At 38.5% G+C, this 14,459-nt stretch overlaps 1 long non-coding RNA gene across 1 annotated transcript in view; it reads right to left on the reverse strand.

Moving 5' to 3' along the window:
* Positions 1 to 1,116: 1,116 nt before the first annotated feature.
* The window catches only part of LOC105377706 (uncharacterized), a 50,105-nt gene continuing 36,762 nt past the window's right edge, over positions 1,117 to 14,459 (reverse strand). Inside the window, exons 2-3 of the long non-coding RNA XR_941182.1 lie at positions 1,251 to 1,409; positions 1,117 to 1,153 (exon numbers count right to left, since the gene is read on the reverse strand). This is a non-coding gene — a long non-coding RNA (uncharacterized LOC105377706). The remainder of the gene's footprint in view (positions 1,154 to 1,250; positions 1,410 to 14,459) is intronic.

The raw sequence follows: 14,459 nt of genomic DNA on the forward strand, positions 1-14,459 counted from the left end.
TTTTGTTATGTAAAATTTCACATGGTTTAAACTAATGTTATAAATTAGTCACTGGTGGGATTCAACTGAGACTGACTAACATGAATTTGAAGTCTAAAGATATTCTCTGCAATTCTTTGAGGATTAAACAGTGAAAAGAAGCAGAAAGAAGAAACCAGGAAGTGATCCTGAGAAGGAGTCAAATCAAAATATTAAGGGATAAATAATACGTGGTGCCAATGATTTTATTTATTCATTTATTATTTATTTATTTATTTATGATGGAGTCTCGCTCTGTCACCAGGCTGGAGTGCAGTGGCGCGATCTCGGCTCACTGCAACCTCCACCTCCCGGGTTCAAGTGAGTCTCCTGCCTCAGCCTCCCGAGTAGCTGAGATTACAGGTGCACGCCACCACGCCCAGATAACTTCTGTATTTTCAGTAGAGACAGGGTTTCACCATGTTGGCGAGGATGGTCTCGATCTCCTGCCCACGTGATCTGCCCACCTCGGCCTCCCAATGTCCTGGAATTACAGGCGTGAGCCAGCATGCCCTCGCCGAATGTCTTTGAACAATTGATCAATTAGTAATGGGGTATTTGAAACCAGAGAGGGTTGGTTTGGGAGAGCAGGTCATGTGTAAAGAAAGAGGCTCAAAGAAAATAGACAAATTTATAAATGACTTTTAAAATAAAATAACTTTTAAAATAATGATATACCATTTGTACTTTCCTGGGCAACCGATGCTACTGTCCATGGTCCTGAAACATCAGTGTGCATTCAAACTTGGCTGTTCTTTCCTATCACTTGGAGGCGGGTATTCAAACCTGGACTGGGAAAAAGCAGAAGGGAATGACAGAAAAAGAGAGACAGCAGGTTGAGGGAAATAAGGAAGATGAATGAGCCGGGCGCAGTGGCTCAAGCCTGTAATCCCAGCACTTTGGGAGGCCAAGGTGGGAGGATCAGGAGGTCAGGAGATCAAGACCATCCTGGATAACACGGTGAAACCCCGTCTCTACTAAAAATTCAAGAAATTAGCTGGGTGTGGTGGCGTGCACCTGTAGTCCCAGCTCCTCAGGAAGCTGAGGCAGGAGAATGGTGTGAACCTGGGAGGCAGAGCTTGCAGTGAGCTGAGATCACACCACTGCACTACAGCCTGGGCAGCAAAGCGAGACTCTGTCAAAAAAAAAAAAAAAAAAAAAAGATGAATGAAATAGTCAAACATTATTATTGTACATAGAGGTTTTAAGTAGGTAGAAGAGAGCCATTTTACCTGATTTTCAAGCAATTGTTGTTACTAGGAAACAATGATGAGTTAGGGACCTGTGAGTAGCTTATCTTCCCCAAGTCAACAACCTAGATGATCCTTCCCCCATGTCTCCTACACCGTAGTTTAGGTTCTGGTTCCAAATGGAGACCTTGGTGTTGGTTCCTGAACAGGAAAGGAATTGGAGCTGTTGTATACTAAAACTTTTTTAGAGGCTGTGAGGCTAAGTTATTAAACAGACAATGGATTTTTAATTCTTAGGGGAAAAACTGGCAATACACTTAAGAAAAGTGCATGCTGCTCTTATTCGTCTCATGAAACAAGAGAAATGAGAGAAGGAGAGTCCAGCAATGATTGTTCCAAACAAAATTATATTTGAGAAAGTTTAATTTCACTTAAAATGAGAATATGAAAGGAGTCCATTTTTTAAAGGTGGATGATGTAGTGAAATATGCTTAAGTTTTAATAAAAAATGGCTCAGTATCAGTTTTCTATTTGCTGCCATAATAAATTACCATAAACATAGTAGATAAAAACAGCACCTTTATCGCCTTACAGTTTTGTAGAAGTCAGAATTGTCAGAGGTCTCAACATAGATCTTACTGGGATAAAACCAAGGTGTCTTCAAGGCTGTGTTCCATTCTGGAGGCTCTAAGGGTGAATTCATTGCCTTTCTTTTTCTACGTTCTAGAGGCTGCTGACATTCTGCAGCTCATGACCCCCTTTCTTCATCTTCAAAGCCAGGAGTGCTGCATTGTTATGACCACTTATGCATAATAACATCTTCTTCTGACTCTCTCTTCTTCTGCCCTCCCCCAACTTTAAGCAGCTTTGGGATTACTTTGGGGCCACCTGCACGACCTAGGATACTCTCCCTATTTTAAGGTCAGCTGATTAGCAGCCTTAATTCCTCTTTGCCATGTAATCCAACATATTCACAGTTTCCAAGGATTAAGACACAGACATCTTTGGGGATTAGTACATGAGCACATTTGGAATCAGACATTATTCTTACTATGAAATAGACAGAAAACCCTGCTAACGTACTATTTCATCTCCCGTGATTCCATGATTTCACTGGGCAGATACACTTTCCCTTTGTGAGAGTAAAATGAGAACATGCATATAAAGTTCTTAGAACAATGTTTGGCACATGGTAAACTATGCTGAGTGGTTTTTATGTTTGTTTGTTTTTTCATTTTCTATCTCTTTCCAGGAAATAGTGATTCCAAGGAGAAAGTCAAACTCAGGTCTGATTGACCCAAAGCCTATGCATGTAAACATTACAAGTCTCTAACAAGATTAGACTGTAAATAGAAGAAATAGTATACTGATGTGCTATTGCTTTAACTCTTTCCTAGTAAAAGACAGAAAAAGTAGCAGGGTTTATGGAGGCACTGATTACATTCAATATTTATTGGATAGTTATTGAACACCTACACTGTATCCGGCTTTGTGGTAGGCATTGGGAAAAAATAATAAATAAAAAAATTAATTTCAGGCTTCGGTGGAACCTACATTCTATTGTGTGTGCACGTGTGTGTTGGGGGGAGTTGAGGAAGAGGACTGGGATTTACAATAAAACCAGTAATATAGTTTATGTTTTGGGAGTTCAGAGAGAAAGTGGCTGGTAGAATAATGCCCACCCAACCATTTCAAAGATGTCCACATCTATTCCCCAGAACTTGTGAGTATGTTAGTTTACCTAACAAAGGGAGCTCTGCAGATGTGCTTAAGATAAGCACTTTGAGATAAGAATATTATCCTGGGTTATGGGTCCTTAAAAATGAAAGAAAGAGGCAGAAGAGGAAGTTAGTGATGCAATGTAAGGACTCAACCTACTGTTGCTATTTTTGAAGATAGAGGAGGGGGAAAATGGACCAAGGAATGTGGGCAGCCTCTAGGAGCTAGAAAAAGAAGGGAAATTGATTTTCCCCTAGACTCTCCAGAATGGAAATACCATTATATCAGCTACTCTGCTGATACCATGATGTTACCCCATTGAGATCTATGTCAGACTTTTGACCTCCACAACTGTAAGATAATAAATCAGTGTGGTTTTAAGACACTAGGTTTGTGGTCATTTGTTACAACAGCTATAAACAACTAAAAAAGACAGGGAGAAGAGTAGAAAAGATCATTGCTGACAATCATATCTCCTAAGACATTTTATATACCTAAATACATTTTCCCCTGAAACAATCAGGAATATTTTTTATCATAGGTAGCAGACTAAACTGATCTATATAGAACAGGGAGAGCTTATTATAAGGATACAGGGATATCTCACAAAACTTAAGGAGAGCAGTGTTGCTAGTTCAGTAAAACAGATCCAGAACCAAGAGCAGGAAGATTGTCTAGACGGTTGCCCTTCACATTTGCTTTCTGCTCCTCTGAAAATATTTCTCCAGACTACCTTTCCTAGGGTTTTCCCTCTGTACAACTGAATACAATTGACACTTTCACAGGAACTGTCAGATCTCAAGGTTGCTTGCTACAAGTAAAGCCACCCAAAGGTAGAATCTCAACTGAAACTTCTCTCTTTCTTTGTCTCTCTCAATCCTCTCTGGCATCCTTATTTTTGGGAGAGAAATTTTCACAGTTCTAGCTTGGGTCAGATGCCTTGCCCTGGACCTATCCATCATACGTGGTGAAGGGTGGGTCATGCTTGACATAAAATGGCTGCTCAGAGATCATGTCCTTTGCAGGGACATGGGTGAAGCTGGAAGCCATCATTCTCAGCAAGCTAACACAAGAACAGAAAACCAAACACCGCATGTTCTCACTAGTAAGTGGGAGTTGAACATTGAGAACACATGGACACAGAGAGGGGAACAACACACACCAGGGCCTGTTGGGGTTGGGGGTGATGGGAGGGAACTTAGAGGATAGGTAAATAGATGAGGCAAACCACCACAGCACACATATACCTATGTAACAAGCCTGCACGTTCTATAACATGTATTTTGTTTTTTGTTTGTTTGTTTTTGTTTGTCTTTTGTTTGCTTGGTTTTTTTTCTAGAAGAAATTTAAAAAATGGCTGCTCAGAAAAAGGAAGATTGTTAGAAACTGGACACACAACCCAATATGTTTATTCTCCCTTCTTGATTCTGCAACGGAGAAGATAATTTTAGGAAAATATAGCATTTTCTCTAGCCAATGTTATTCAGTGTTTGTTCAGAACAAAGAATTGTGTGAGGTAATGAGTAAGATACAAAGGCAACTGAGAAACATTTACCAAATATCTATCCTTATGCCAAAAACTTTGTTAAATCCTTGGGTCATAAAGACATAGAAAACAGCACACTCAAGGAATGGAGGAGAGAAGGCAATTTAGACTATTGTGTGTCATATGCTGAACAGAAGGTACCTGCAGAGTGCTGGCACAGCACAAGCAATGACACCGTTTATCCTACTTGGTCGGGGTGGAGTAGGACTGTGGCAGAATTCCAGAGAAGGTAATCAGAACTTCCAGGTGAACAAGGGAGGAAAATGCAGCTCAGAAAGAAGGAGAGTATCTGCTAATCCCACAGTCATGAAAATAATCACTGAGGCCCAGACCCAATGAGAGTGGCAGGGTGGTCAGAGTGGCAGGGCTTGTAGGGGAAGAAGATTCCAGCTCTTGAAGGCTCACAGTCTAGCAGTGGAGACACGGTGGGTAATAAACAACTCTTACAAGATCTGAATACATCAGAATAATATTGAAGTGACAAAGAAACACACTTTGTGAGTTTTGGAGGTAAGCTTGGAGCTCAGGGTCAAGTTAAAATCCAGTTAGGAAGACTAGAAATGTTCCTAGGACAAGCTGGCTTTTAAATAGTTTCATAAATAGTCTATGGTTGACAGGAATGAGCAAAATAGAACTTCAAATTAATTAAAATGCTCCTCTTCGATTTCAAAGCACACAAACAGTATGCAAAGCAACGTACCACCACGTGTACCATCCCAGCATTGACATAGTGTTTGCTCCCCAAGGTCATACAGTTTCTGTAAAACTGACTCTGTAATGATTTGTATCATCTTCCTCTTTTATTTCCAAGAATTGTCTGACTTCTTTAGAGGAAAAGGCTATACTGTGCCAGGGAAAATATGGGAAAAGCATCTTGAATATCGAGTGGCAATGAGAATGCCCAAAGGAAAAGAATTTCCATCACAAAGTACTCTCTTCTCATGGAATCTTTGAAGTATGCCACTGGACTGCACATACCAAATTCCTCCTGCTTTGTTTCTGTTTTAAATTAATCATTTGTACATGTTGGGGCTTCAAATGTTTACTGGGTGATTATAAACACGCTGAAGTACTGAAAGGAAACTCCCGGGACACGATATTCACCCTCATCATCTTCTTAGATTTTATTTTGACGCGCCATCAATTGGAATTTTTAATTCAGGCTATTCTCCAATGTTGCAACAATTTTACATACTAGATTATCAAAGTTCCAAGTCCTTTTATAAGGGTAATTAAACATGCCACGTTTGTTTCTAGAGCTCTGAGCCTGCAGTTGCTCCTCCACTGGTTCTATTACTATACTTAGTTTACTGCTTTCTGTTTTTTAATTTATGGTGCTTGAGAAATCTACTCACTTTTAATTTCTCATAAATTTAGCACCAAAGCTAGAGAAAAAGAAACCCGATCACTTACAGGCTAGGTGGGTGACATTCTCAAAGACATGCCATGCTTCTGAGGCATTTTTTAAAACTGTTTTTCTTCTAAGGAGAAGGCTCCATTTTCTAGGAATCCAATATTGATTATATCACTCTTTTTGACATAATCCCATACTCCTTATGCAGACAAAAACACCATTGATTTTTATAAACTAGTGGCATTTTTTTTTTCTATCACTGGAAGTTTTGTTTGGAAAAAAGAGAATGGAAGTGAGTTCAGAGCAATCTATCTTTCTACATAAGTATTTCTGTGGCACTTATCACAGCGGTACCTGGGCACTCAAAAGCTCTATTAGACTAAAACACATACACTGGAGGAAAAAAAACCTAGATGCTAAGAAAACAGAAAGTTAAAAACATCAAGAGAAATACGAAAAATGTTCTTTGTTCTTGGACAACCAATGGGAGTTGAAGACAATTCTCAGGAGCAATAGGAAAATATATCTTTTCCTACATCCATTTATTTATTTAAAGGTTTCTAAAGGACTATTCTGGGCCTTTGATTTAAGTGCAAAACACCACTGAGATTTGTGTCTAATCAAGGATGGAATATGACTCTCATTCTGGCATTCTGGGTAGTAGACGAAAGATAAAGCATACACATACATACACAAAATGAGGTAGCGACTGATGCTAAGAATGTTTAGAATTCTCCAACAGGACGGTCTTTTTTTCCCTTTGTACTCAAGAAAATGGGCCTGATGCTCATGCAGTTGGATTTCCATAGATTCTGGCATTTGTTATGAGAAATACTTAGGAAATGGATTGTTTGATGGTGAAACTTGCAGAGCCAACTAAAGAGAAAGGGGCTGATGTCATAAGTCAAATTTCACATTAATTTTGTAAGTTAAGTGTCTTTTATTATTTACTGTAATATTAGTAAAATTATAGTAATATAGGCCTCATGTCATACAAAAGGGCAGGACAAATTGTAGTGTCAATGGCTATTTATTCCACTATTTTTAATATATGAGAGAAATTACTGAATAATTGCCTGATTTTTAATCAAAAATATCTGCTGCAATATTATTATATATGAAAATTCATATTTGAAAATAAGCCAGTTTCTTTTGCATATGTAATTTATAGGTTTATGTTACAGTCCAAGCCAACATATTGAGAAAAGCCACATTCATGGAGAAGGAATACATATCTAATTTACAGGAGAGTCACTACTGTAAAGTTTTATTTGTATCGTGATGTAATTTCTGAGTAAAAATACCTCCTGCTCCATTTCATGGTGGGTAATCTGCTGATTCTTAGGATTTTCATCCTGGTTGGTTTAACAAAAACAACCAAATTTTTATGTGACATTTTTATATCAAAAACACTTCGATAGATATTACATTTCAAAGAGTAATGCCATCTTCATTTCGGATTTACGTAGAAATTGGCAAATTAAAAGTATGTTAATAAGGCCAACAGTGATAGTTCAGGAATAAGATTTAAACTGAGCTTCTGTGCCAATGAGTGCATTAACTTTATTCAAAAATAGTGTATGTAAAATGGCGCACAACTGACATGAGCTGATTATGATAATGTCTTAGAGCAAATTTTTGAAAATCAGGTACCATAAAAATATACCATTAACTTTATGTTAATAAAATATTTTGCTTGATGCCTTTTAAATTATTCATTTGAAGTAGTCTAAAGATATAAAAGAACTCTTATTATCATTCAATTTACATGATTACTTTTAAGTTCACTTTTTTGGTTTAACATAAACAGAGTATAAAATTCACATCAAGCTTTTGGTATTTAAAATGTGTAATTTTAATGCAAAAATTGAATGCTGTGTTACATTTTTAAGGTTGTCATTAGTATAAATATAATTTTGACTCCTGATTTGAAACAATTTAACCCTTAGGAGAAATTATGATGTTTCTTAGGTTGACTCATTCTTGCTGCTTTGATTATAGATGAATTTCTTTGTAAAAACACTTTTAAAAGAATCTAAGCACAGGGTTTTCCACAGATGCATTTGAAGAAATGATGGAAAGTACCAGGAGAAGAGGATCCTTTTCTCCCAAAAAGCCTGGCTTTGATTTTAATTATTATTATTTTATTATTATTTTTGTTTTTGAGACAGAGTCTCGTTCTGTCACCCAGGCTGGAGTGCAATGGCGTGATCTTGGCTCACTGCAACCTCCGCCTCCTGGGTTCTAGCAATTCTCCTGCCTCAGCCTCCCAAGTAGATGGGATTACAGGCATGCGCCACCACGCACGGCCAAATTTTGTATTTTTAGTAGGGACCAGATTTCACCATGTTAGCAGTCTGGTCTCAAATGATTTTAATTATTAAACAACCTTTACGTGCCCAGGAATGTGTGGAGCTCTTCATGGCTTTATACAGGAAGACAGCACCCTGGCGGCCTCTAATTGCTTACAGTCAAACTGAAATTTCTACCATGGAGTTGCAACATTTATGGCACAGTGTTAGGCACATAATGCTACCCAGAGAACTGGATTTATATTGTCAAAAAATAATGAGACAGCAAAATTGGATAAAAGTTCTAAATATGGTAGGGTATGACTTGAGTAGGGTGGATGTAATCTATATTTTTAAAGAAGAGAGGGGATAGCCCTTTAGATGGGAGAGGTATTTGAATAAAAGATCACAGCCATCTCCTTTAGAATATATACAACATACAAAGCCTAGTTTCTGTTCTCAACATAAATAATTTAACATTTACATATATATTTATATATGCTTTAGTCTATATGCAAATATAAAACAAGTTACATAAACAAGTACTTTAAGCCACACACAATTCCAAATATATACAGATACACAAAAAATTATCCAAATGCCAGACAATGGGTCACTTATTTCAAAAAGTGTTTTAAACTCTATTCTTGGGAAGGAAGGAGGAGAAGAGGAAAAACGATGGAGAAACTTGACTTGAAGCCTCATGCTTCTTTCCCACATGTGCCCAAGTGATGATTGCCTCACTCCTGTGTATTTAAGAGAATGAGATTCTATTGCATCTCATTTGGGCAAACCATCAATTATAACCTTCAGCATAGTCAGATATGAATTTTTGACTTTTGCGTAATGCTATAGTTTGTGTCCCCAAAAGTATGTCTTGGAAACTTAATTCCCAATGCAACAATGTTGGAAGGTGGGGTGTAATAGGAGGTGCTTAGATCATGAGGGCCCCATGTTCATGAATGAACTAATGCCAGAAAGACATCATAAAAGGACTTGAGCCTGCAAGTTCAAGCTCACTCTCTCTAGCACTTATGCTTTCTTGCTTTTTCACTACGGATAATGTAGCAAGAAACTCCTTGCCAGATGTGGGCCCCTCAACCTTGGACATCCCAGCCACTGGACCTGTAGGAAATAGATCTCAGTTCCCTATAAACTACCTAGTCTCAGTTACTCTGTCATAGCAGCAAAAAATGAACTAAGACCCATGGCTCAGTACAACACTATCTCCAGAATGTTACTAATTTGACACGACTGGCCAAGGCATTAAATGAGGTTCCCAAGAGCTTGGTAATATTTGTAGAATTAACATGCCTTATTCCATCAAAATTGCAAGGAACTGTGCAAGCTAGTCATCTCTCCTCCTACCCAGTTGAAACTCCTTGTACAATATTATTTACAGTGGTTCATCTAAGTTCAGTTTGAATGGTTTATAAAAAAGAGAGGGCAATATTCTGTGGGCACTACTTGCTCGTTCTACTGGTCTTTCAAACATTTGAAGACATACATCACATTATTTTAATATCTTCCTTTGCTAAGCTAAGCGTGTGTGTTCCTTCATCTATTCTTCTCATAAAAGAGCTCTTAAGTTAACTCCCTTCTTTATCTTCTCTGCTTCAGAACACTTTTTTGTTTTGTTTTGTTTTGTTTGAGACAGGGTCTCACTTTGTCACCCAGGCTAGAGTGCATTGGCATGATCTTGGCTCACTGCAGCCTCAGCCTCCCAGGCTCAAGCAATCCTCCCACCTCAGCCTCTTCAGTAGCTGGGGCCACAGGTGGGCACCACCAAGTCCTTCTAATTTTTGTATTTTTTGTAGAGACGGGGGTCTTGCCATGTTTCCCGGGCTCGTCTCAAACTCCTAAGCTCAAGCAATCGGCCCATTTCAGCCTCCCAAAGTGTTGGGGTTACAGGAATGAGCCACCGTCCCTGGTCCAGGGCACTTTTAGGTTTTCTTTTATTTCGTTCTGTAAAGCATATTTATCAATGCTACTCTACAGCGATCCAGTGGAAACACACACACACACACACACACACACACACACACACACACAATGAACTCTGGCCTCAAGAAATTTATATTCAAGAGGGGGAAGGTAAATATGTATCAAAGAACAACACAAATATACCATTATAAGTTGTGTTAAATGTGAAAAAGGACATTACCCCAATCAAAATATAATATCCAGAATGCTACATAAAATTCTCTATCTGATCAGACTTGCACAGAAAATAAAGAAACTATTATTGACCTTGAGCTGAATACTACATTTTTAATACCGCAACCTAAAGATTGCTTTCACAAGTTCATATTGACCACGTGGTTAACTCAAACCTCTGGGTCTTTTTCAAATGAACTACTGTCATACTAACTTTCTTCTCTGCTTATATAATTAATTTTTGAACATCAGTAGAAAACCTCATAGATATGCCTGTAAAATTCCATCATCTTGGTTATGGCCCTAAATGTCTAACATGTCAAAGTCATTATTGAGTCATAATTAAGACAGTTGAAACATTTAGTAAACTTTTGTGTCAGTGAAAAATGTGATCAATGTTACTTCAGTGACTTCAGGAAAGTACCAAACCAAAGGTAGGACCACGAGGTGTGTATCAAACACATGTTCAAGTTGATTTACTGATTCATATACTTAACTATATGTACTAGACTTTTGTTGTTTTTGCTATCCAACATCTATTTCTTCCTCCTCTGGCCATATATTTTTCTTGAGGAACCACCGTTCTGCATTCTCACTCTATATGATTTTGAGGGCTGAGTTTATCCCTGGTTCCCATGCTGTCATGTCATCAAACTTGTCAATGAGAATACCGACTTCCACTAGCTAAAAGATTGGAAACATAATGTAAGTCAGTCTATTGAGTTTAAATTCCTGACCTTTGTAGAAGTGCTGGGAAGAGAGACTTTGTGACTGGAATTGAAACTGGGAAGAAGTAAGATTAGAACTGTTAAGAGTCACCGTGCTTAGCATGCAAGTGACCGAGGCCAAAGTGGAGCAAAGAGATAAAGAGAAAAAACCCAAATCCTCATTGCACCTCCCACAGTTTTAGATCCAGTCATTCTAGAATCAAAGCCGGGTCTAGACTTTTCCGTTACATGAACCAGAAGAAGAACTCTTCTGCTTCAGACAGTTAGCATTAGGTTTCTGACGTTTGCCAAAAATATCCCAACTGATATGCCATGTTACTTAGTCCACATTTTCCTTTTGGTGACCGGAATATCACTGGTGTCTTTGTCATCTCTCTCTCTCTCTCTTTTTTTTTTTTTTTTTGAGAGAGAGTCTTGCTCTATTGCCCAGGCTGGAGTGCAGTGGTGTGATCCCAGCTCACTGAAATCTCTGCCTTCCAGGTTCAAGCGATTCTCCTGCTTCAGCCTCCCAAGTAGCTGGGACTACAGGCCCACACCACCACGCCCGGCTCATTTTTGTGTTTTTTTTAGTAGAGATGGCGTTTCACCATGTTGGCCAGGCTGGTCTCGAACTCCTGACCTCAGGTGATCCGCCCTCCTCGGCCATCCAAAGTACTAGGATTACAGGCATGAGCCACCATGCCCAATCTTGTCATCTCTTTTATAGAAATCCAGATATAGGATCTCTACAATGCTTTATTGGCCAATGATTCTAGTAACCCTTTTGTCTAAGAAAATTAGATTTGTTAGCCACGATTTGTTTGTCTGTAGTAAATTGATGCTGGCTTACAGTGATCATCTCTTTTCTAATACCATCTGTTTAATAATCTACCATAAAAGCTAACTAGTTTATTAGACAAATTCCATTGCTCTGTGCATCATTCACAGTAGAATAATACGTATTTTTTCTCTGATCTTTTGGATATTTAATTTTCTAAGGTCTCAGGCACATGGTTCCCAAAGTTATTGAGTGTGAGCAATTTTTGCAATTGTCAAAAATTATCTCAGACCCCCAAAGTCTGGTAGTTGTACTTTAATAGTTGCTGTTTATTAAAATAAAATACATAATGGTAAAAATGTATTAAGTAACTGTCATCTTTAAATAAAATTCTGTTTTATTAATCAAAGCATTCCTGTAACTTGGAAAGACTATTCCACTTATGTATAGGAAATATTACTTATTCGATTTGTGTCTAAATCTAGTATGAACAACTTTTCAATCTCTTTCAATCTGGGCCCAGGGATAAGTGGGCCGGATGAGGAAGTCCTGTAACAGTGCATTTGTTTGACTATGCCTAACATTTTATCCCTGGCCCCTTTCAAATAAATGCAAGACCCCATTGTCCCTTTCTTCTCAAATCCCCTTCACTTCTTCCTGTCAACCTCTATGGAGGCTGCTCTTTTGACTCTGCTCAATAGGCATCTTGAAATGAAAAGATGACCTGATGCGGAAGAACATTTAGGCCCTCAAGCCCACAAAGAACCTGGGGCATGAGCTGACACTAGAAAAACTTCACTTAGAACCAGAAAGTGCGGTTGGGCATGGAGCAGTTCTTTTGGCTTCCTCTAGCACAGAAAAAAAAAAAAAAGACTATAGTCCAGATACTCACAGGGGATAATTACCTGACAGACTGACCCTAATGAAAAAGCATTGCACAGCCCCTTCTTAAAAGCTTTTGGTGTGTGCTTTTTTAGATAGCAGTGCTCAAATGTGGACAACTGATAATGCCCAAATTTTCTTTCTGTCTGCTTTGGGCAGTTTATTTTTAAAATGAGGTTAAGCAAACTGCAGTTTAGGGGAAAATACACTTATTTTTACCTTAGTAAACTGATTGTCATTTTGACATATCACCTTTATGGTTGACACAACCTTGACAACGTGACACATTAGCTCAGAAAAAAAAAAAAAAGATTTTTCAGAATCAGATCCATACCAAGCAGCAGTATTTTTCTTTAAAAATGTTATTGTTGTTATTAGGATTTGCTCTCTGTAAAAGATTGTGGACTGGAGTCTGACACTCCATAATTCATGGTTGATAATTAGTGTGTTGGGTGTCAAAACCTTGGTTTTTTGCTCCCCATGCAGCAATGGGATACACACTTTGTCCAGTCTCTGCCTTAATTTTTGAGATCATGGTACACAGTGAACACAAAACTGCTGAACGCACTCAATGTCTCCACATTGCTGATTGAAATCTTGGCAAAGGTTATCATTGTCTCCGAACACCAAGACATAAACTGCTTGAATGAAGGGCTTTGTAATGCATAGGTTTTAGTCAAACTTGTCACAAGAGGTGTAGCACATGAAGTTGAAGGATCTCAGAAAATGGTCCTCTTGATGTCTGGATTAATGTGAATAGCTAAAGAGCTGCCATATCCAAGTTAAAATATCTTTGTAAGTGGCCAGTTGTTTGAAACCTGGTAATAATGACACTTAAATTATAATACCAGGCCTTTTACTTTTATTTTTCCCAAATATCCTCCTGCAGAAGCAGTTGGTTGTGTGACTCAGATTAGGGGAATAACTATCATTCTACAAACATTCCAGCAGCTTGAGACTTCGACACCTGATTATCCAACTGGTCTTCTTGTTTCTGATCCACTTCGCTTCTTTTCTCCAGAAAAATCTTCCTAAAATACTCCTTATAGCACATATTTTTTTTTCCATCGCTCTGCATTTGCATTTCAGGTCTGCAGCCTAGGAGGGAATAAATAGCCTTCTACATGCTGGTTATTACAAGTCTCAAATTTAAAGTGATGAGGAAGGCCAGGCGCAGTGGCTCATGCCTGTAATCCCAGTACTTTGGGAGGCCGAGGCGGTTGGATCACCTGAGGTCAGGAGTTCGAGACCAGCCTGGCTAACATGGTGAAACCCTGTTTCTACTAAAAATACCCCCCCGCCCCCCCCAAAAAAAATAGCTGGGCCTGTAATCCCAGTTACTCAGGAGGCTGAGGCAGGAGAATCGCTTAAACTCAGGAGGCGGAGGTTTTAGTGAGCCGAGATCACGCCATTGCACTCCAGCCTGAGTGACAGAGCGAGACTCTGTCTCAAAATAAATAAATAAATAAATAAATAAAATAAAAATAAAAATAAATAATGAAGTGACGAGGAAATGTCCTTCACTTTTTTGTGATATTCTTGTACCCTAGCTGACCTTCTTTCTCAACTCTGTGGGATGGATATGTTTTAGGGATAGCAAGACACAATGAGAAGCAGGGTGACATAGTAGAAAGATCACGATTTAGGACAGGGTTGGAAAAATTTATCTGGAAAGAGCCAGACAGTAAGTATTTTAGGCATTGCACACCAGACAGTCTGTGTTGCAACTACTCAACTCTGCTGTTATAGTATGAAAACAGCCATAGACAATACCTAAACACATGGGCATGGTGTTCCAATACAATTTTATTTATGGA

This window comes from Homo sapiens, chromosome 5 (genome assembly GCF_000001405.40).
Source record: "Homo sapiens chromosome 5, GRCh38.p14 Primary Assembly".
NCBI classification, from domain to species: Eukaryota; Metazoa; Chordata; class Mammalia; order Primates; family Hominidae; genus Homo; species Homo sapiens.